At 37.5% G+C, this 24,783-nt stretch overlaps 1 pseudogene, besides 1 other annotated feature; it reads right to left on the bottom strand.

Moving 5' to 3' along the window:
• The window catches only part of LOC100422352 (transmembrane O-mannosyltransferase targeting cadherins 1 pseudogene), a 65,535-nt pseudogene that overhangs the window by 27,596 nt on the left and 13,156 nt on the right, over positions 1-24,783 (bottom strand).
• Positions 7,271-7,805: an enhancer, noted in NCBI's record as "H3K27ac-H3K4me1 hESC enhancer chr12:30637986-30638520 (GRCh37/hg19 assembly coordinates)". NCBI's record gives its function as "activates a minimal SCP1, AML or CMV promoter by ChIP-STARR-seq in naive H9 embryonic stem cells {active_cell/tissue: H9 hESC(naive)}" and the evidence as "EXISTENCE:reporter gene assay evidence [ECO:0000049][PMID:30033119]".

Raw genomic sequence — 24,783 nt, 5'->3', positions numbered from 1 at the left:
TACTTCAGCCTCCTAAGAAGCTAGGACTACAGGTGCACACCATCACACCTAGCTAATTTTTAAAGATTTTTTTTTGTAGCATCAGAATCTCGCTATATTGCCCAGGCTGGTCTTAAACTCCTGGCCTCAGGTGATCCTCCTGCCTCAGACTCCCAAGAAAATTCTGAATATTCCTTTCCTGAAAAGTCATGAGTTAACATCTATTAATGATTCTTGTAACAAAGGAACCTATTTTGTGTAACTCAGCATTTCCTAAGTTTATTTGACCACTGGACTCCTCACTGACCTCACTTAATGGGCAGCTATGAACATCCCTCAGACCTTGTATTTCCAGGAAAGACACTCCGGTAAATGCTTCTCTTGACTGACAAAAGAGAGAATCCATTTAGATGAATGACACATCCTCCCTAAACTTGAAAGTCCCAATAGCTCCAGGAAGAGGCGGTGGCACCACAACTAAATGAGTGTCGAGAAGGAAAGGGTTTATTTGAATCACAAGACTGCTTGATCAGTGATAAACATTCCACTTACTGAGGAAGAGTAGACTCTTCTTGTCAAGATCTTGTCAATCTTGGCAAGAGCTGGGTTATGCTGTGGATGGAGCTGGAGAGCCCTTTGACTGCATTTTTTGTCCCTGCTGTGTCTCTTGTCAGGGTTTCAAGGTTGTTCGGGGCACTCGCATGGTGCAATATGACTTAAAAAATAAGAAATTTATTTTCTAATTAAATTTTTTTCTGATTTATGTATTTTTATTTTGGTAAGATAGATATAAAATTTACCATTTTAACTAAATTTAACTAAAAACTAGAAATGTTAAACTACAATTGTTCAAATACCCCTAAGTGTGGCATAGTTTGCTTGTTCTCTTTTTCCCCCGGGTGTTCCATGACTAAAATAAAAAACTGAATTTGTCCTTTACTTTCACTTTAGAAAGGATATGAATGTGCCAATCTTTATGGTCACCTTTTTTGTTTTTTAAAAAATAGTTTTTTAAAGGTTATTTTAACATTTTACTGCTGGAGATAAATTTGGCATTGATCTGATACATATTAGTATAAATATAGCCCTTAAGTAATGGAAGATTTAGAAATATTTACAGAGCTAGCATGATTAAATAAACTTCAACCTTTTATGGCTTATTGAGATACTTTCAAGTTCTTTTGGTAGAAAATTCTCACAAGGAGCAGAGTTTCTGGCCTGGTGGTATTGCTGACAACCTGCTTATCTAGTGCCTTCTATTTACACATGATGGTGGGAATTCTGTGGTTTGGATACGAGAGATTTACATAAACACCTTTGGATCAGGGCATCAGTAAAGCTGGTGTTACTAAGAAGAAGGCTACACAAAATTCATGCATGAAAAATGAAAAATAAATCGTATCTCTAAAACGGTACTTCAACTGGATTCATTATTTTGTTTTATTTCCTTCTTCTGCCACGAGGATACACCTTGTCTGATGTAGTTCATAGCATGAAAATCCTGGCAAAACACATAAAAATAAAAATATTAAGTGATGCACAATTCCATATAAAAAGGCCAACAGTCCCAAAGTTCAAAACCAAGTTCAAAGGAGGTCTCCATGTGCATGCATCAATACAGAAAATTTGGGCTGCTATAGGAAACAAGGGGATCAGCTTACTTCCTACACAATAAAAAGCCAAATTAGCACAGCTACATAATGTAGCTGTTTCTGCTACATTTAGAGTGGACATATTTGGCAATTTAATAGGTCCTCTTCATCTTTGTTGCCCAAGGAACAAAACTGTGGAGCTAACTGAATGTAGAAAAGCCAAGATAATGTCCGAGTGATAAAAGCAGGACCTGTGCTTGTCTAATCCCTTGATAAGCAGAAGCCATCCTTGCTCCCCATTCTGCCCTATTTAAGAAGATCAATTTAATTTTGGAGCAGAAGAAGTTCTACTAAAAGGCCAAAGAAGACAAATTGCATTAGCTTAAAAGGCCCATACTCCAGCTTAGGAAGCTGTTTTGAGAAACATACTGTAAGAGGCAGCTGGACAGAGAAAACACACGGAGCTGCTACTTCTTTGCGAACATCTCTAATTGGCAAAGACAGTTCTAGGGCTTTTTCTTTTTCTTTTCTTCTTTTTTTTTTTTTTTTTTTTTTCCTGAGATGGAGTCTTGCTCTGTCGCCAGGCTGGAGTACAGTGGTATAATCTCCGCTCACTGCAACCTCTGTCTCCTGGGTTCAAGCGATTCTCTTACCTCAGCCTCCGGAGTAGGTGGGACTAGAGGCGTGCGCCTCCAAGCCCGGCTAATTTTTGTATTTTTAGTCGAGACAGGGTTTCACTATGTGGCCAGGCTGGTCTTGAACTCCTGACCTCGTGATCCGCCCGCATCGGCCTCCCAAAGTGCTGGGATTACAGGCGTGTGCTGCCATGCCCAGTCTCTAGGGCCTTTTATATTCACCAAGCATATGTCAGCAGTAACTGAGGGACAGCAAAATCCAAGAGCTGTCCTGAGAAGTGAAAGAATATTGTAACTACCACCACCCCTCCCCACCACACACAAAATCCTTATGTGCTGAAAATAATACTCCTGTGCACCTTTCATGCCCGTGAAAGATCCTGGTTTCTAAGGCTCAAAAAGTACACTGTTACTCCCTGGAAGTGATTACAAAAAGCATCCTCAGCCAGAACCTACTTGCTTAGGTAAAGCTCTCTGACCTCTAACAGATTTAAGGCGTGTCCAGTGAATACGCTGATGGCAATTCCCATGCTCATTGTTTCCTTGATTTCAAGCAAAGCATCCCTGGGACCTTCTCTTCCCTTTATTACAGAAAAGACATTTTTAAAACTTGATCTTTTTCTCTTGATCCTTATTTCTCTGGATTTGGGGACCTTGGAGTAAACATCTGAGGTAAAAGCACTCTGGGAAAAGTCAGACCAAATTTTATATGAGCTTCTCCCTCAGGTTACCCATGTGTTAAGGTGCCTGATTGCTCTCCAAGAAACTGGTCCTCTCCTGCTGGTCCTCAGCCCACCTTCTGAGATTTTATATTCACTCATGATTCCACTGCCAGGTGGACAGTCATGATCACTAACTACAGAATTGTTTTTCTCTTCTTTTTCTTTTTGATTAGGAACAGAAAATAAGTTTACTCTGAGCTCTCCAAACCAGGAGCAAACATCAAGATGAAGAAGAAAAAATATATAAGCACTGTGAGCAGAGAAGTCCTTTAATATATATTGTGCTCAGAGTCTGAGTAGAGACTTTGTTATAACAAATAGCCCTGGACTAGAATAGGCTCGTTGGCATTTATTGTAATTTACTGATTTTATTACCAAGCACAGTCCTCCATATGGATAATATGTAGACATTTTTTTTGTTCTTGGTAATAGCAAAGGTCTGCAGGTAATATCCTCTCGTTCTCCAGGAAAAAATTTCTGCATACTTAACCCAACCACAGGCAAGCACTACATTATTTACAAAACAAAGCTGAATTTTATTAAAAATATTCTTCAAGGGCAAGTAAAAGTTATCACTTTGATTATAAATTTAGTTTTATAAAACATATATTTTTCTCTATCACACACTCATGCAAAGATAAAACCTACTTTGTGTTTTTCTTCTTTAATTAAACGTGTTTGAATTATATTGGAGCTCAAGGTCTTCAGAAAAGCCAAGTGGGGATTATTTCTACTGGAAAGTTGAATAATTTAAGAGATTTGTTCCCATGTCAATTGTCAGAATAAATGTAAGCATATCTTGAATCTGACTTCTTTAGGTATGTCATACAAAGGTTCTGTTTGTAGTTTTTTGTGAACCCATAGAAAGAAACTTAGAGTTCCACTGATATAAAAAACAAATACTTCACTGAACTGGAAAAGACTGGTGAGTTCTAGCCCACTTTTGAAGACCCAGTGTGAATACCATTTGGTTGCTCTCAGCATTTAAAAAAATCATTTTTGCTCATCAGATGAATTAAAAACTTTTATTGTAAGAGCACGTATAGCATACTCAAGCAAAAAAATTTTTTCACTTTAAAAGACAAATATAAGTACAGAGAAAAATAATTCTGCATAAATAAGAGACAGCTGTCACAGAAAAAATCTGTAATCTATTGATAATGTTAATCTAATATTGGAAAGCTTAAATGTTTGATAAACATAACATGTATTTAAGCATTTAAGAGGCTCTTAATTTGCATCTAACAACATTTCATTAAGCAAAAGTAAAGTAGGTAGGCAAGAAAATTATTTCCTTTCCTCCAAGCCATTGCATTTGCTTAAGAGAAAAATAAAATGCAGGAATAAAATAAATCCAGATGATCTAAAATAGTGGTAATGATATCATACATTTGTCTTGCACTTTGCAGCTTGTAGAATACTTTCCCAGATATTATATCATTTAATTTTCTATTTTTTAAGTTAAAATGATTATTTTACTTACTTTATAGTTTAGTAAACAAAGTCTAGGAGAAACTAAATAAATTATGAATTATAACAAACAAAATATTATCTCAGAATCACTGGTGTTTCTATAGTGTTAAGAGGCAGAGGATTTTGGTAAATCTATTTATTTTCCCCAAAAATATGAGCAACGGCCTAGCCGTCAACATAAGTGACTACAGTCCTTTGAGCTATAATCATATAGCTCAGTAGCCACATAGCATATGCAGCATATGCTATGTCTAAATATGCTGCTACCAACTGTGGAATAATTGTTTTTTTTTTTCCGTGGACAGTCCATTCAACTATAATATCTTGGCAAATAGTACTCCAAGAGAAGTAAAACATTTCTAAAGAAACTGAACTAGGCCGGGCGCAGTGGCTCACGCCTATAACCCCAGCACTTTGGGAGGCCGAACTAGGCAGATCACTTGAGGTCAGGAGTTCAAAACCAGCCTGGCCAACATGGCAAAACCCTGTCTCTACTAAAAATACAGAAATTAGCCGGGTGTGGTGGCATGTGCCTGTGATCTCAGCTACTCAGGAGGCTGAGGCAGGAGAATCGCTTGAACCCGGGAGGTGGAAGTTGCAGTGAGTCGAGATCGTGCCACTGCACTCCAGCCTGGGCAGCAGAGCAAGACTCTGTCTCAAACGAACAAACAAACAAACTCAACTAATTAGATTTCTTATTTAACTGGAAAAATGTGCTGCCTATCACAAAAAGTGAAAATTACGTCTGTGAAAACTATTACATAATAGAAAACCTCTTTAGAATCAATAACACTCAGTAAATAAACTTGGCTTACCAGGTGTTAATATAAAAATTATGTAGTAGTAGTGCTTTTGGCTCTACTATTTTTAAGCTCTATCTTTGACCAAAGAACTATAGGCTTGAATCTCAAAAAAAGTATCATATAGAAGACCATAAAGAGAATAGCAACTGATAGAAGTTATGCAACTAAAATTTAGATTTATTTTTTATTTCAAGCATTTCCTTCAGAGTTTGCACAATCTGTTCAAAAGTCATGGATGCCATCAGTTTGTCATTGTTCAAAGTGATTTGTAAGAAATTTCAGTGTTTAGGTAAAATTGCATCATGTACTCTAGTTTGCAATTTCCTTTGAGTGTGCCCACCCTGATTTGCTTGTCTGATTTTCATTCTCAATTTTTATTTGTTGGAGGTTATCTATACTTAAGGTCAGATATTTATTTTCTATTTTTTGTTGAGAAAAAAATCAAAGAGAAAAACATGACTGTTTAAAAAAATCATTCAGAAAACCTCAATTTTTCGTGACTAAAATATAGCCCAGGTAAACTCAATTTCAGGATGCAGTACCGTATTTTCACCATGTTAGCCTTTCCCCTGCTCCTCCCTTATCCCCAGGAAGTAATGATCAATCAACCTAAGCTGAACTCCCCTCCTGTTCAGCTCTGGATCACACAGGGGATCCCGAAAACCTCCCTTCTATTAATTTGCCAACAAGATTTAAAATAAAACCAAAGCTGAAGAGGCAGGAAATGAATCCTCTAAATAGTTGACTCTTCTGAGAGTTGAGAATCAACCCTGTAAGTACCAGAAGGTAGGACATTTATCAAATGAAATTCTTTTTAAAAGACAGTCTCATACTTCTCTGCCTTGTAAATGGAATATTGTGAATGTAACTTATGCTATTCTTGTTTTGAGGGTAGGATGGATGGAAAGCTGCTTTGGTGAAGTGGAAACAGAATGGGATTGCAGCCCTGGGCTCCATTATGACTATGGCACTTTCCAGCTACGTGGCTTGGATTTATGTCTGTGCCCAAGTTTATTTCTCTGTAAAAGTGGACCCAGTAGCACATCTTGCTAGGCTGCCAGTGAACCACTGAGGTGATTTTTGTACAAGTACCCATGGCCACACCCACTACATTCTGACTAACAAATATGGTTATTTCTTCTCTGAGCCCATTCCTTCAAATAACCAGTGTGTTTTAGGATTCTTGGATCTTACTTGTAGAGATGAAGAGGAGCTTGTGGAGCTGTAGGACCTCTTGAGTGTTGACTCAGTTGTCACCCCAGGCCTAATGAACCCATGTCAAGCTGAAACATCCAGCTCTTCCCATCTCCCATGGCTTTCTCATCTTCCAAAAAAATAATTTTCTTCATTGCTGTCAGCAGCCTTCAACTTGCTCCCACCAGTCAAAACATCATCTATTAGTACTTCTTCATAATTAACAGTGAACACTCAAGGCATCTTGCATTCATCTGTTTCTTCCACGATGTGTGTTCCTGGATGACAAGTGTTCTTGGGTTCCTGAGTCAAAAAGATTGACAATGAAATTTGTTAATCACACAGTTCACATGCTAAAAAGCAGCATCAGTAGTGTGCATGTACATGCAGTTTTAAGTTATTCAACAAATATTTATTGTAGGCCTACCATGTGCTTCATACTGTCCTATGTGCTGGGGATATAAACAAAGATATAAGCTCTTGTGGAGACTACCTTCTAGAAGAGTGAGGCACACAGTTTACATAACACCAAGTATATTAGAGGGTGATGAGAGTTGTGTAGAATATAGATCAGTGCAAAGGGACAGAAAGTGCTGGGGCGGCAGGACTGTTGCGATTTCATGTGGGGTGGTCAGAGAAGGCCTCAGGAAGAAGGTGACAGATGTCTTGGAGGAAGTGTGGAGGTAAGGCATGCAAACACTAGGGGAGAAGCACTCTGGGCAGTGGGAACAGCGAGTGTAGAAGCCCAGACGCAGGGCCGTGCCTGTGGTGTGCGTCCCAGGGGCCTCAAATCGCCCACTGTGGCTGGAGCTGAGGAACCACAGAGGGAGCAGCAGGAAATGGGGACAGAGAGGGAATGGCCATGGCAAGGCAGACAGTCAGGGCTTCCACTCCGGATGAGGTAGGGCCGGTGCAGGACTCTATTAATGGAAGAGTAATTTGAACCAGGGATCCATGAATCCCCCAGGGTGCCTTGGTGGTGGAGGCAGGAGGAGGAGCGGAAGTTGTGGCTGTGGCAGGGCTGGGAAAATGGCGGCTCCTGGGGAGAAGGAGGAGTGAAGCAGTGAAGGCAGCGGTCAGACTCTGAGTGCAGTAACTGCTGATGCAGTGCTCAGCAGCCGGCCAGGGCACCTTGCTAAGCACTTCACAGGAATTCTCACAAGAACTCTGTGAGGTAGCTGCCACTACCGATTCCATTTAAATGGAGAATCTAAACAACATCCTGTCAAAATTGCCTCATTGACTCAGAATAGATCGCCTGTTAAGCTAGTTTTTGGTGTGCAAGAATGGTATGAAGGAAAAAAGTCTTCGAATAAAAATTATAGTGCTATGATTTTAAAGTATACCTACACGTGACCACTATAAGACTAAAAAGATTCTCGTTTATATTTTACGTAAAACACTGCTTCTTGGATTTGGTGAACAAAACTGCCAGACTTAACACAACATGTATAGTGAGAATGTAATTTCATCAACAGAAGACACAAAAATAATGCCAGAATTTCACATGAGATATCATAAAGGATGTCCAGAGCTCTAAATGTGAGGACCAATACAGTGATAACACCACTCCAGCTGAGGCGCCGTCACCATGTGTCACACCCGGGCAACAAGTGGTGTTGGAATTTTAATTCCTTCCAGAAGCACATGGCAGCTGGCATCTAAGGCCATCTGTAGTTATGAAAGTTATTTTAAAAGTTTGTCCAAAATAAGCTACATAAATAAGTGGTGTTTTTTCCTGATTCAACGGTTTCTAGTTTTTACAATGTTCAAACTGCACGTTTTGTTGAGCATTCATAGGAAATTTGATACAATAATTGTACTGAAGGAACTTAGGATATCATTAAAAGGTAGGTTAATTGGCAGCTGCAGTGAGCTTTTGTCATATACCGTTATAGCTCTAATATATGATATTTCATTAATGTTCACACATTTATTTCTTTCTAAAATAAATATTTTTTTCTTATTGAAAAAATATATATCCAAGTCTTATAGAATTTTCTTGATAAATTCTGGTTGTCCACACAAGCAGGATGATTAAGTACTGTACCAACAAGCATTATTATAAGAAATGTCTACTTTATGAATTAAATAACTTTCAACAAAACATTGTCAGCCCCTTACTTTACCATGTTTTAGCAAATTAAAGAGTGGGATAGGGTTTCATTTATACAGAATCATGAAATGTATGCTCCTTACATTTTAGATACACCAACAGAAAACAACACGATCAGGAACTTCAATCCTGTTTCAGCAGTTTTCTTTTCCTTCATATTTTCTGTTTAAGACATCAGTAACAGACATATTAGGAACATATAAGGCCATTCTAAAGGTCTCACGAATGCTTAGGCGCACTTGAGTCTTCCAAGGAGCAGTGTAATACATCTTCCATTTGATTGCAATACGGGGGGAGAAAATCAACTTTAGTTGATTTACTGTATATTTCATGCTGAAACGGTGTGTGTGAAGAGGAAAATAACTGTCTGGGTGACTGAGGATCTCAGCCCTTTTATCAGGATTAAATCCTGCCGTGTGGCTGATATCCAAACACCTGAGGCACATCAGCGAATCTTGCAGTACTGGGTGCAGCAGGGCGTTATGAGATGAAGTGGTAGGAAGGACATCTAGGTGAACAAATGTTCAGTGGAACATGGGGTCATATTCTGGTGATACTGGAGAGACCAGCCTGACACATTGGGCAGCCTTATTCTGTATTCCCAGATGCAGGATTCTTGATGCCCAGCAGAAAATAACCAAAAATTGTCATCTAATGAGTCTGAACAATAGTAGAAACCATAGTTTTTACTAATTTACCTAGAGTTGATATATTTTCTCTTTTAAATAACGTCCTATTAAAAAGTCACCAGATTACTAGAGAGTCTCCAATCCTTCTGTGAAATTTACTGAGTTATGCCCGCATCCACACTTCAGGAGTGCACTGCTCTTTTGTAAGCCTGTGTACCTGTTTCCACTGATTGAGTTGTTTGATTGCCAGTAGTCAGTTGTATTTATTCCTGTTTATTTCAGTTGTATTTTAAAAATCATAATCGTATAATTCAGTAAAATATCCTCTAAACAGATACAATCTGAGTGTGACAAGAGTTGTCATTTCGGTGAAAACCAAGGAAATATTTTACAAAAGCTAAAAAAGTGAAGTTGCCAAGAAATAGAAAACTGCTGTTCAATTAGGTGTGGAGATGATGTAAAAGACTGGAGGAAAAAAATCATGAAATTCATAGATTTTCTACTCAACTTACTTTGCAAGAATCTTTAAATTTTTGTTCTACTTTGAAGTTGTCCAAACTGATAGTAGTCGTAGATGATGCATTTTGGATATAGTTTATGTGAAAATGGTGATTTGGTTTTTTAACTGATGGGTTCTTATTGAAAAGCCTTTGCTCAACTTTAAAATGTGGTTGAATGGAAGTACATTTGTATGTTTTAGGCTAAAACAGTGTTCAGAGTTATATATTGTCTGCTTTATCCACCTTAACTTTTAAAATTAATTAACCAAACTATTGGCCAATCAGAAGTTCTCCAAGGGGCATCTTCTGACCCACAGGCAGGGTCACTGTGGGTTAATATATTAGCAAAGGTCTTTTGTAAGAGTTCTGTGTTGGAAGAACTGAGATATTGGGTGGTCTTTGAACTCTCTACTCCCATTAAGTGGAGTTGAATGGCAGAAACCTTTCCTGAAATAACTCAATGGTCAGAAAGCTTTGGAAGCATATCGCAGATCTACCAGTGGTTTTCTGATTTTCCATCATATATGATCCCAAGCTTTATAGGACCCAGAATAGGTATAAGCATGAAAGCTGCTCTCACAGCAAAGCAAAGCAAAGCAAAGCTAACATTCATATTTGTTGAAAATTTAAGTTAAGCATTCTTTCTTTCTTTGTTTGTTTGTTTGTTTCTTTCTTTTTCTTTTCTTTCTTTTTTTTAAATGATTTAGGGTTTTAACTGAATCTGTAACTTAATAATGCAGCACTTTTCCAGGGGAGGTTTCTCACACTATACAAAAATACTTAAATTGGCTATGGCTAAAGGGAAGGTGCAGAGGCAATTCTGCAAGATTGTAAAAATAAAATAAAAATGTAAAAGAAACAATAGAGTCATGTTGTATATAATTACCAGTTTACTATGAGCTAGTTTGAGAAATATAAGCCAGCCAAAAAAAAAAAATGATTGGCTGGCAATAAATACAATTTGAATGATTAACTTCACTACTGCTTTGGGAATCTGTACAATCACTGATAGCTGTAGTAGATGATTGTTGGAACTGATTTTTAGATCCTTTAACTTTGTATTTCCCCATTATTCTCCTTCTTGCTGTCTGCAAATATGGAGAAAATTAGATTCACTGAAATGGGAAGGGAGACACTTAGAAGGGGAAAGACTTCCTCTGTCAGCCAATTTCATAGGAAATTAGCAATATCAAAATAAAATGAGCAATCTTCTGGTCATCTAGATTAACAATCACCAAAATGATGAACAGTCACAGTATCTTTTCCTTTCTCTCTAATGATGATAAAAAGTGAAAATTTATTTTAAAAGACACCAACATCCATTGAACAGTCATAGCAGGGGACTGCACACTATAAGGAGGATGCTCTCAAACCAGACAGAGTTTTGAGTCTGGACTGAGAGCACAGAATATTTCACCAATCACTGTATGATATATTTGTAGCTTTATTTTTTTTGTTTTTCATTTCTCAAGAGACATACATTTTACAAAAGCAGAATTAATGCAGCAACATATATTTTTATGCTTTCACTGGTGATACCTCAAATTATCTAACTGCAATAATTATTTTTTTATTTTTTTGAGATGGAATCTCGCTTTGCCACCCAGGCTGGGGTGCAGTGACGTGATCTCTACTTACTGCAACCTCCCCCTACTGGGTTCAAGCGATTCTCCTGCCTTATCTTCCTGAGTAGCTGGGACTACAGGTGTGTGCCACCATGCCCAGCTAATTTTTGCATTTTTAGTAGAGATGGGGTTTCACCATGTTGGTAAGACTGGTCTTGAACTCCTGACCTCAGGTGATCTGCCCACCTCAGCCTCCCAAAGTGCTGGGATTACAGGTGTAAGTCATCATGCCTGGCCTACAATGATTCTTTTAAAACAGCTACCAGTGAATCATACCCACTATTCCAAGTGTCTTAAAGCCTGCCTCACTTTACCCATTTAAAGATGACAGCAAGTACACTTTAAGAATGAAAAATAAAATACTAAAACATTTCTTTTCATCCAATTTTTTCAGGTAAACTTAGTATTCATTTTCTCCACACAATAATGCAGTGTTAAATGTTACTTCATTGTTAAAGTAAAAATATACCTGATCTGTGCCCTTAAAGTTTAAAATGATATTTTCTTATTGCTAAAGTATAGCATTTAAAAATGTAAAATTCAACAGCATCTCATCAATTTAAAATAGAGTTGTAATCTTTTGGTAAACTGCTTCCCAGAGAAAGAATATGACTGTTCTTTCTTAATATACTTTCCCAGAGGAAGAATATACTTTCCCAGAGAAAGAACATGATTGTTCTTTCTAAATATACTTAATGCTTTAAGTATATTTCCCACTCCTCAATTAAAACATGAAGGTTTATTCTTACTTTCCATGGGGAACTTCCATTTCTTGTGATCTGGAGAATGTTTCTGGTGGCTAACTTTTTGGGTACTGTTTTAAGTTTGGGCCCTGGTGTATGTTAAGTAATTCATGAATAATATGCTGGCACAGAATACTATTCCAAAAGATAGTATAGAAGCAAAACCCAAAAAGCATTCTGGTGAATGATGATTTTTAAAACAAAGCTTTAAGAACATCTTGGTAGGAATTTTAGAAAACAGACTCTCAATATCCTAAGTGAAATATATTATTCAGTTACCCATACCTACTGGTATATGTGTATATGTGTGTATTAGTTCATTCTCACACTGCTCTAAAGATACTACCCAAGACTGGGTAATTTATAAAGAAAAAAGGTTTAATTGACTCACAGTCCCGCATGGCTAAGGAGGCCTCAGGAAACTTACAATCATGGTGGAAGGGGAAGAGGCATGTCTTAAATGGTGGCAGGCAAGAGTGAGCAAGAGCAGGGTAAACTGCCAGATTTTGTGAGAACTCACTCACTATCACGAAAACAGCATGGGAGAAACTACCCCCATGATCTAGTACTTCCCACCTGGTACCTCCCTCAACACGTGATGATTAGGGGATTACAATCAAGATGAGATTTGGGTGGGGACACAGAGACAAACCATGTCAATATGTTTTAAGCATTTACAAAAGTGGAATTGTATTAGAGAAGTCAACTAAATATGGGCCCATTGGTGGGGTACAGAATCCTGTCAAAAGGACTTCTCTTAGTGTATTCAATAGAGGAGAGAACTCACCTCGCTTTATTGTACTCTCATGTATTTTATTCATCAAGTCTCCATGTGTTAAAGGTCAAATATATTTCTTATCTGGAATCTTGAGAGATAGCCACCATGAAAACTCTGCATGGAGATATGAAAAGAGTCTCTGAGAGTACCACAGCTATGGGCTTTTCTTAAGAATGAAATACAGCCACAACTATAAGCATGTTTGATATGCTGCATCCCATGATGGCTATGAGGAGTACATCAGAGCTTTTTACCTTGGAAAAGTATAATTACATACATGTTTTCAAAAGCCTTAAAGTCAAAACCTGGCCATGAAGTGCCTTCTCATTTTACTCCTAATTTAACACACATGTAAAGGCATCTTCATTGCTTTAAATGTTTCCATAGAAATCTTCCTCATGCAGTGGCAAGCCAAGATTTTCCCATACACTCTATTAATAATTCACTGGAATACATGCCCTGAGAACTTACCACTATATTTTTAGCAACCAATTTCTGTCTTCCTGCATATATATACTCAACTGAGTGTCACTTCACTGCATAATGTGTAGCACTGGAAAATTTTCCAGGAAACACCAAGAGTTAGATGCAAAGTAGAGTTATTGAATTAATACCAGACTTGAATATTGAGCTAAAAGACTCACAGTCCAAGAGCTACACCACCTCCAAGGATCAGTTCACTGTCAAGAGAAACAAACAAACTCCCCATATATTGGGATGGGATGAGTGAAATAAGTATCTTCAAAGTACAGTGGCCAGTACCCTTCCTGTATGGTTTATGTGAGGGCCGTTCTATAGCGGTAGGTTCCTTCCTTGTTCTGACCTGGGTCTTCAGGAAATTGGCATAGTTGTAGTAAACCTTGGCATTGTGAGGCAGATTTTGAACTCCAGACCTAAAATTAATGCATTTTTTTAAAAAGCAGTAATGAATTCTAATTAGGAATGTTGTCAGTTTACTTCACATTTTACTTACAGTTGTATGGACCTGTATTTGAAATAGTCTGTTTTCTCTAAGTTAGGACATCTTTAAGTTTGTGAATTATATGAGACAGTAAACATGCATATATGGAATATGAAAAAGACAGATGTGCATCCGAACAAATGTACTGTGTATGAACAAAATGCCCTCAGCAGGTAAACATACGGCCTTTGCTTGTGCCTAAGACATAGCAGGAGCCTTAGTAAGTCTCTGTCACCTCACCTGAGGCATCTTCTGGGAGCACAGCAAGGCCTAACGGTAGACCTGAGAGCATATCATACAACAAGAGCTGTACATAACCTCACAGTTATCAGGCCAATGTGGCTTTCCTAATTTATGATGCGGGGGCAGATGCACCCACACTGGGGCTACTGCACAGTTAGGCCCTGCCAAGGCTGGTTACAAACCCTCTTCCTTCTAGGGAGAATTGCAGCATTAAGCCAGCCCTTCTTTCCTTTTGTGTCTGTCTTGTGGGGGCTTTTTATTCATGGATACTTGATGAAATAGCCTAAGGGATCTCCGAATGCACAATAAAGAGCCAGAGAAAGAAAAGATTTGGTGGTTTTCATAATGAGAATAGCTCATAACAACAACCTCCTCTATAAAACATGAGACATAATATCTGGTGCCCTCTATTCTGTTTTCTTTCCCTTTATTCTTTTCCACCATTCTTGTTTCCTTCAATGTGGGAACCCGTGGAATTGGTTAGTGTGAAAGACTCTCTCACTCTTCTCCCAGCTACAAAGTCATGGTTTCCTCCTTGGTACGCAGAGTTCCCAGGGGTACCATGATGGAAAAAAAACACATTCCAACCCTAGGGGTATGCAAGGAGACTTGCAAAGTTCCTTAGTTACTCAATTTTGGTGGACAGTAATATTGCGCTTGATTGAGAAAATGATTACGTTTGTCCTAGTCAACAATGAGAACAATGGAGCTCAAGGGGCACGCAAGGAAGGAAAAGGTGAAGGACTGTGCAAACCATAGCAGAATCATTAATAAAGGAAAATTCCAGAAATGAGATGGTTCTGGACAAATTAATTTTCAAGCTTTTCTGTGATCTGAAATAATTGATGTGGTCATTCAGTATATATGAAGGGCCTGCTATGTCCCAGGTGCTGTGCCAGATGCTGAGGACAGTCAGAGATCCTGCCTTCAAGGATGTACTTGAGGGCAGGAAATATGGGCAATGACAAAATGGCTTGCAACAATGGTGATAAGGGTGCCAAGGGAGCAGAGAAGTGGATGCTTATCCAAGATGTGGAGAACAGGAAAGGCTTCTGGGAGTCAGCGTCAGCTAAGCTGAGACTTTAAGAAGAGATAAAAGTTAGCTTCTAGAAGGGAAGAGGTATCTAGAGCAGAATGTCTTAACCAGAAGCCCCAGGGAAAAAAGAGCATGAGGCTTCTGAGGGATTACAATAAATGAAGAGTGGCTGGATCATAGAAAGCTAAGTCTGGAAGTAAAGAGGCCCTAAAAAAGTCTCCTTTTTGAAAATTAATTTTTTATTTTTAATTTTTGTGTTTACAAAGTATGGGCATATATTTATGGAATACATGAGATGTTTTGATAAGGGCATGCAATTCATAAAATAACATCATGGAAGATGGGGTATCCATCCCCTCAAGCATTTATCCTTTGCGTTACAAACAATCCAATTATATGTTTAGCTATTTTTAAATGTATAATTAAATTATTAATGACTACAGTCACTCTGTTGTGCTATCAAATACTAGGCCATATTCTTTCCTTCTAACTATGTTTTTGTACACATTAACCATCCTCTCAACCCCTCCACTACCCTTCCCAGCCTCTGGTAACCATCTTTCTACTCTCTCTCTCCATGGGTTCAATTGTTTTGATTTTTAGGTTCCACAAATAAGTGAGAACATGTGATGTTTGTCTTTCTGTACCTGGCTTATTTCACTTAATATAATAACCTCCAGTTTCATCCATGTTGTTGCAAATGACTGAATTTTTTTTATGGCTGAATAGTATTTTGTTTGTATAAGTATCACTTTTCTTTATCCACTCATCTATTTATGGACACTTGAGTGGCTTCCAAATCTTGGCTATTGTGAACAGTGCTGCAACAAACATAGGAGTGCAGATATCTCTTTGATATATTGATTTTCTTTCTTCTGGGTACATGCCCAGCGGTGGGATTGCTGGGAAGTATGGTAGCTCTATTTTTAGTTTTTTGAAGAACCTCCAAGCTGTTCTCCACAGTGGTTGTGTTAATTTACATTCTCACCAACAGTGTACAAGGGTTCCCTTTTGTCCACATCCTTGCCAGCACTTGTTATTGCTTGCCTTTTGGATAAAAGCCATCTTAACTTGGATGAGATGATATCTCATTGTAGTTTTGATTTGCATTTCTCTGATGATCAGTGATGTTAAGCACCTTTTCATATGCCTGTTTGCCACTGAGAAATATTTATTCAAATATTTTGTCCATTTTTAAATCAGGTAACTAAACGTTTTCCTAGAGAGTTGTTTGAGCTCCTTATATATTCTGGTCATTATTAATCCCTTGTGAGATGAGTATCTTGCAGATGTTTTCTCCCATTCTGTGAGTTGTCTCTTCACTTTGTTGATTTTTTCCTTTGCTATGCAGAAGCTTTTTAACTTGATATGATCCCATTTGTCCATTTTTGCTTTGGTCGTCTGTGCTTGTGGAGTATTAATAAATCTTTGCCCAGACCAATGTCTTGGAAATGTTTCCCCAATGTTTTCTTGTAGCAGTTTCATAGTTTGAGGTCTTATATTTAAGTCTTTAATCCATTTTGACTTGACTTTTATATATGGCAAAAGATGAGTCTAGCTTCATTGTTCTGCATATGGATATCCAGTTTTCCAGCACTATTTATTGAAAAACCGTCTTTTCCCCAGTGTATGTTCTTGGCACCTTTGCCAAAAATGAGTTCACTCTAGGTGTGTGGATTTGTTTCTGAGTTCTCTATTCTTTCCATTGGTCTATATATCTGTTTCCATGCCAGTACCATCCTGTTTTGCTTACTGTAGCTCTGTAGAATAATTTGAAGTAAGGTCATGTGATTCCTTTACTTTTGTTCTTTTTGCTTAGAATAGCTTTGGCTATTCTGGGTCGTTTGTGATTTCATATACATTTTAGGATTTTTTTTCTATTTGTGTAATGAATGTCACTGGTATTTTGATAGTGATTGCATTGGGCCTGTAGATTGCTTTCGGTAGTATGGACATTTTAACAATATCGATTCTTCCAATCCAGGAACATGGAGTGTTTTACTATTTTTTGTGTTCTCTTCAATTTCTTGCATCAGTGTTTTATAGTTTACATTATAGAGATTTTTCGATTCTTAATTTCTAGGTACTTGATTTTATTTCTGGCTATTGTAAATGGGACTACTTTTTAAATTTCTTTTGCAGTTTGTTCACTGTTGGCATGTAGAATGCTACCAATTTTTGTATGTTGATTTTGTATCCTGCAACTTTACTAAAATTTGTTTATCAGTTCTAATTCTTTAGGTTTTCCAAATATAAGATCACGTCATCTGCAAACAAGGGTAATTTGACTTCTTCCTTTCCTATTTTGATGGCTTTTATAACTTTCTCTTGTCTGGTTACTCTAGTTAGGACTTCCAGTACTATAATGAATAACAGTGGTGACAGTGGGCATCCTTATTCCAGATCTTAGAGGAAAGGCTTTCAGTTTTTCCCCATTGAGTATGATACTAGTGTGGGTCTGTCATATATGACTTTTATTATGTTGAGGTATGTTCCTTCTATGCTCAGTTTGTTTATCACGAAGAGATGTTGAATTTTATCAAATGCTTTTTCAGCATCAATTGAAATGATTGTATGGTTTTGGTTTTTATCCTTCATTCTGTTGATATGATATATCACATTGATTGATTTGCATGTGTTGAACCATTCTTCCATCCCATAAATCCCATTTGGTCATGATGAGTGATTTTTTTAATGCATTGTTGAATTCAGTTTGCTAATATTTTGTTGAGGATTTTTGCATCAATATTCATCAGGGATATTGGCCTGAAGTTTTCTTCTTTTGATGTGTCTTTGGTTTTGGTATTAGGGTAATACTGGCCTCACAGAATGAGTTTGAAAATGTTTTTTTCTCTATTTGTCACAATACTTTGAGGAGTATTGGTATTAGCTCTTCTTTAAATGTTTGGTAGAATTCAGTAGTGAAGCTATTGGGTCCTGGGCTTTTCTTTACTGGAAGACTTTTTATTACAACTTCGATCTCGTTACTTGTTACTGGTCTGTTCAGGTTTTGGATTTCTTCATGTTCAATCTTGGTGGGTTGTATGTGTCTATGAATTTATCAATTTCTTCTAGATGTTCCAATTTATTGGCATGTAATTGCTCATAATAGCCACTAATGATCATTTGAATTTCTGCGTGTGTTTTTTTTTTTGAGACAGAGTCTTGCCCTGTCGCCCAGGCTAGAGTGCAGTGGCGCAATCTCGGCTCACTGCAACTTCCATCTCCCAGGTTCAAGCAATTTTCCTGCCTCAGCCTCCTGAGTATCTGGGATTACAGGCACGCACCACCATGCCTGGCTAATTTTTGTATTTTTTTAGTAGAGACGGGGTTTCACCATGTTGGTCAGGCTGGTCTCGGATTCCTGACCTCGTGATCCACCCGTCTTGACCTCCCAAAGTGCTGGAATTACAGTCGTGAGCCACCATGTCTGGCCTGCAGTGTCAGTTTTAATGTCTTCTTTTTCTCTTTTTTTTTTTCCTCAGTCTGGGTAAAGATTTGTCAATTTTATTTATCTTTTCAAAAAGCCAACTTTTTGTTTCATTGATCTCTTACGTTGTTTTCTTCATTTCAATTTTGTTTATTTCTGCTTTGCTCTTTATTATTTATTTTCTTCTACTAATTTTGGTTTTGGTTTGCTCTTGTTTTTCTAGTTCTTTAAGATTCATCATTAGGCTGTTTATTTGAAATTTTTCTTCTTTTTGATGTAAGCACTTATAAGCTTCCCTTTTAATACTGCTTTTGCTGTATCGCATAGGTTTTGATGTGTTGTGTTTCCATTATCATTTGTTTCAAGAAAAATTTCAATTTCCTTTTTAATTTCTTATTGATCCACTGGTCATTCAGAAGCATATTGTTTAATTCCCATGTATTTATATAGTTTCCAAGATCCCTCTTGTTTCTAATTCCATTTGTGGTCAGAGAAGATGCTTCATTTTATTTCAATTTTTTTGAATGTTAAAGACATATTTTCTGACCTAAAATATGGTCTATCCTTGAGAATGATCCATGTTCTGAGGAGAAGAATGTGTATTCTGCAGCCATTAGATGAAATGTTCCATAAATATCTGTTAGGTCCATTTGGTCTATAGAGCAGATTAAATCCAATGTTTCTTTGTTCCTGAAATAAGTCTTGTGAGCCACACTGTTTAACAAGCAGGGGTGAGTCAGTGGGGTGCTTTAAATAGAGAAGTGAGACCAATAGTTTAATATTTTAGAAGATTTCTCTGAAAGTTGTTGCAGTAAGAAAGGAGAGTGAGAGAGAAAGAGAGAGAGAGGTGCAACACTGAGATCCAGAACAACAGCAGTGGGTATAGAAAGAAGAGGAGGGATTCAGGAATATTCATAATATTCATGAAGCAAAGTGATATGACTTGGTGATAGACGATTCCTTGGCAACAACTCTGCATGGTCAGTCGATTGCCTTCCTCACTCCTTTCTTCCCTTCCTTCCTTCTCTCCTTCCCTTGCTTCCTTCTCTCCCTTCCTCCTTCTTTTCAATTTTCTATTTAGTGGAATTTCTTCAGAATAGAAGAATCTTACTGCATCTTTCATTCAAAGTCCTTGATTTTCACAAAAATATGGACTATTTTTGATGAAGAGTACTGTCAACTAATTGATATTCTTATTTATTTCTACCTTTTATGACATTGATAGAATGCTCCTTACTTTGATTTTCAGATATGAAAAACACAATAGAAAGATCAACAGCATTATTTAATAACCAGATGTATAATACTTTAATAAGAAAACAAATTTTCCATTTTCTAAATTTCCTCTTTTTTTGCGCCTCAACAAGTGGAAGTTTAAATTGTTGGTTCACTTTGTAGTTCTTAAGCTACAACACAAGGCATTTGACATTGGCTTTGCTATGTCAACTGAAAAAATCACACAACTTATAAATTTAGAAAAGAAGAGCTTTGTTTTTTATAAAAGGTTGCAACTTGCAGGGTGGCTATCCTTACACAGCACAGCCTCCAGCAGAGACATAGCAGGCACTTCCAAGGAGGAAAGGAGGAGACAGGAAACAGTTGGCTAAGTGTACATATTCAACAGGTTACAGGAGGAGCTATAAGTATTCATGACGGGGGTCCTAATGCATGTGTACTAAACAAACCTGTAGGTTACATATGTCTTATGTTCACTTTGGGGTGGAGACTTAACATTTAAATTTATTACAGTTAGACTGTATACATAAAAAGGTGAAGCAGGGACACAAAGACACTCAGCGTGTGTGGCCTCTGTAAACTGCCCAGAACCAGTTCATGGTTGGTAGTCTCTTATCAGGAGAAAGTTACTGAAATCAGTCTCTTGTCTGATCAAAGATGTAGTCATGGCTCATGGAACAGGGTGGGGGTCAGTTAGTCAAACTTCGGCAATGGATGAGCTGCAATTGTCTTAATATTCCTCATCTTGAGGCCAATGCTTATTTAGCTACTAGGAAAAAAGAAAAACCTAGTGGCCATTAAAGCATAGTTTATTCTTTATGTGTAGGGTTGCATGACTTCACTCTTAACTGGCATGGCCTTAGATCCTGTATATAATTTGGTGTCTTATTGCCAAAAAGAATCTTTTCCATCAGTCTTATGATTTCTATTTTAACATTAATGATGGTCAGGTGTTGTGCCTACACTGCTAAAGGGAGGGATATAATGAGGCATATCTGACCTTCTATCCTGTTATGGCTGGGAATTCAGGTTTTAAGGTTTCTCTGGAGTACCTTTGGTCCGGAGGGAATCCATTCAGTCAGTTGGGGGACTTATGATTTTATTGTTAGTAGTCAGTTAATATTGTAGGCAGTTTTTAAATTCTATAAAAACATTTTGTTGATTTTTTTCCCCAAAAGGGTCATGTCAATCCTTATGTTAATTTTTATTAAACTTGTTTGGACTTCAAAGTTGGTAATAAAGTGACTTTAAAATAACAATAATTAGGACTAGTTTGTTTATTTAAAGAGATTGTAGTTCTTTGACTTTACAAGAGAATAAGAATAGCAGCTAACGTTCATGAATGCCTACTTATGTGCCAGATGCTGTCCAAAGCACTTTACCTGTATTAATTTCTTAAATCCTTGTAACCCTATCATCCTAAAATTATGGATGGAAAACCGATGAACAGAGAGGTTGAGTATCTTTCTCAAGGTCACACAGCTGGTAAGTGGCAGAGCTAAGATTTTAACCCAAGTACGTTGGCTTAGTTCCTGCTCCCTCACTTTAAGGAATTGACAACAGAAAAAAATAATAGATGGACTGAGTCTGTTTGGAAGAAAACTGCCTGGATTAGATTAGAGGAAAAGGCCAAGTGAAGGTGCTGGGAGTTGCTAGAGGAAGAAGTTACTGATGACAGTCTCACTTCTGGCAAGTCACACTTCTGGAAGTCTTAACCAGAGAAATGAGGGAAGAAAAAGAAATAAAAGACATCCATTTAGAAAAGAGGAATTAGGCCGGGCGCGGTAGCTCACACTTGTAATCCTAGCACTTTAGGAGGCCAAGGCGGGCGGATCATGAGGTCAGGAGATGGAGACCTTCCTGGCTAACACGGTGAAACCCTGTCTCTACTAAAAATACAAAAAATTAGCCGGGTGCAGTGGCAGGTGCCTGTAGTCCCAGCTACTCGGGAGGCTGAGGCAGGAGAATGGCGTGAATCTGGGAGGCGGAGCTTGCAGTGAGCCGAGATCGCGCCACTGCACTCCAGCCTGGGTGATAGAGCGAGACTCCATCTCAAAAAAAAAAAAAAAAAAAAAAAAAAAACAAAGAAAAGAGGAATTGAAATTAGCCTTGCCTGCTGATGATATGATCGTATATCTAGAAAAACCTAGACGTCACCAAAAAACTCTTAGATTTGATAATCAGTTCAGTAAAGTTACAGGTTACAAAATCAATGTGCAAAAATTAGTAATGTATTTCATACACACCAATAACAATCTAACTGAGAAAGAAATTGATAGCAACAAAAGATAGACAAATTTGTAGGCATACAGGGACTGTCTCTTGATTGGTTCCTTCTGAATAATGCCCTTTAACCAATCAAATGATGTTTTTTCCAAGACCGCCATGGACCAATCAGCAAGCATTCCCCCATTTAAGCCCATAAAAACCCTGGATTCAGCCTCACAGATGGCTACCCACTTTTGGGTCCCCTCTCACAGCTGAGAGCTTTTTTTCTGTCACTCAATAAAATTCGACTCTGCCTTACTCACTCTCCAGTGTCCCTGCACCTTATTCCTCCTGGTCATGGGACAAGAACCCAGAACTCGCTGAACTGCAGGGGCAAAAGATCTGTAACACTCCTGCTTGCCGAGCTGTGGGTGGTGGGAGTAAAAGAACTGTAACCCTCCCTCCCACTTGCCTAACAATGGGAGAGAAAAAGCCCCTGGGTGCCACTCCCTCCCACTCACTGATCTGTGGGAGCAAAAAAGCTGCAACAAATTCAAGAAGGCAATCCCATTTAAAACACCTAAAAAATATGTAGGAATAAATTTAACCAAAGAGGTGAAATATTTCTACAAAGAAAGCTGCAAAAGAATGGAAATAAATTGAAGATGACAAAACAAGTGGAAAAACATCCTATGCTCATAGATCAGAAGAAAAAATGTTATTAAAATGATCATGCTTTCCAAAACAATCTACAGATTCAATATAATCCCTGTGAAAACATCAACACCATTCTTCACAGCATTAGAAAAATAAAATCCTAAAATTCATATGGAACTGAAAAAGAGCCCAAGTACCAAAGCAATCCCAAGCAAAAGGAATAAAGCTGGAGGCATCATATTACCTGACTTCAAAATATATAGCAAGGCTCTAATAACCAAAGCAGCATGGTATCAATATAAAAGTAGATACTCAGACCAATAGAACAAAATAGAGAACCAAACAATAAAGCCATATGAATACAGCCAACTGATCTTTGACAAAGCTGACAAGAACTTACATTGGGGAAAGGACACCCTCTTCAATAAATTGTGCTGAGAAAATTGGATAGCCACCTGCAGAAGAATGAAACTGGACCCCTACCTCTCACCACATACAAAAATAAACTCCAAATGGATTAAAGACTTAAATGTAAGGCCTGGAACTATAAAAATGCTAGACAACAACCTAGGGGAAAGTCTCCTGGATAGTAGTCTAGGCAAATAATGTATGACTAAGATCTTAAAAGCAAAAGCAACAAAAACAAAATTAGACATATTGGACTTCACTAAACTAAAAAGCTTCTGCACAGCAAAATAAGTAATCAGCAGAATGAAGAGACAATCTGTTGAATGGGTGAAAACATTTTCAAAGTATTCATCATACATTGGATTGATATCCAGAATATACAAGGAACTCAAAGGGAAAAAAACCCCAAATAATCCCGTTAAAAGGTGAGCAAATGTCATGAATAGTCATTTCTCAGAAGAAGACATATAAATGGTGAACAGTATATGAAAAAATGCTCAACATCACTAATCAGAGAAGTGTAAATCAAAACCACAATGAGATATCATCTTACCCCAGTCAGAATGGCTGTTATCAAAAAGACAAAAATAACAGATGTTGGCGAGGATGCAGAGAAAAAGGAACTCTTATACTGCTGGTGTGAATGTAAACTAGTAGAACCACCATGGAAAACAACATGGAGATTCCTCAAAAAACTAAACATAGAATTACCATTTGATTCAGCATTTCACTACTGGGTATCTACCCAAAGGAAAATAAATCAATATACAAAGGAATATCTGCACTCATATGTTTACCGCAGCACTATTTACAGTAGCTAAGATATGGACTCAACCTAAGTGTCCATCAATGGATGAATGGATAAGGAAAATGTGGTATCCTGGAATACTACTCAGCCCCAAAAAATAATGAAATCATGTCATTTGCAGCAACATGGATGGAACTGGAAGTCATTACCTTGAGTGAAATAAGCCTGGCACAAAAAGACAAATGTTGCATATTCTCACTCGTATGCGGGAGATAAAGAATTAGAACACATGGAGGTTGAGAGTCGAAAAATAAGTAAGGGAGACCTGGAAGGATAAGCAGGCAGGAGGTGGGAGGAAGAGAAGTGGGTTCAAGGGCACAAGCATATAGTAAGTTAAAAGGAATAAATGAAGTATTAGATAACAGAATAGGATAACTGTTTTCAACTAAAAATGTATTGTACTCTGATTATGAGCACCCTGAATACTCTGACTTGATCAATGCACAATATATGCACATTACACATTTTCTCATGTACCCCATAAGTTGGTACACATTTTAAAAATACTCTAATAAAAACCCAGAAATTTGAAAAAAAAAAAGATTTTTTTCAGATAATGTTCCAAAAATGTTTTAGCAACTTACATTTCTGCTTGGCTTGCATATAAAAGTCGATTCCCCTACACCCTTACAAGCACTGGAAAGTATCAGTCTCTTTTATATGTTGCCAATCTAATGTGTTACATAATTATATCTCATCATTTTCATATTACATTTCCCTGACAACAGTTAAAAGTAAGGTTGCTTGTGTTTTCATACAATATGCCCATTTGTATTTCCTCTTTGATGAATTGTCATTTTCTTTCCCCCTTTTTAAAATGTCTTTTTCTAATCAATTTGTAGGCAATCTTTGTACATTAGAGCTATCAATTCTTATATGTGTTGCAAATATTTTATTAAAACATCTTTTACCACATTTTACATCTTATATAATTAAATTGTGCTTTTATAAGTCCTCTGAAAAAAGGGCATTGAACAGGTTCTCCCTCAGAGCCTCCAGAAAGAATC

Source organism: Homo sapiens, chromosome 12 (genome assembly GCF_000001405.40).
Source record: "Homo sapiens chromosome 12, GRCh38.p14 Primary Assembly".
In the NCBI taxonomy this organism is placed as follows: domain Eukaryota; kingdom Metazoa; phylum Chordata; class Mammalia; order Primates; family Hominidae; genus Homo; species Homo sapiens.
Note: the sequence above shows the minus strand (reverse complement) of the source record. Positions and strands in the feature narration are given on the sequence as shown.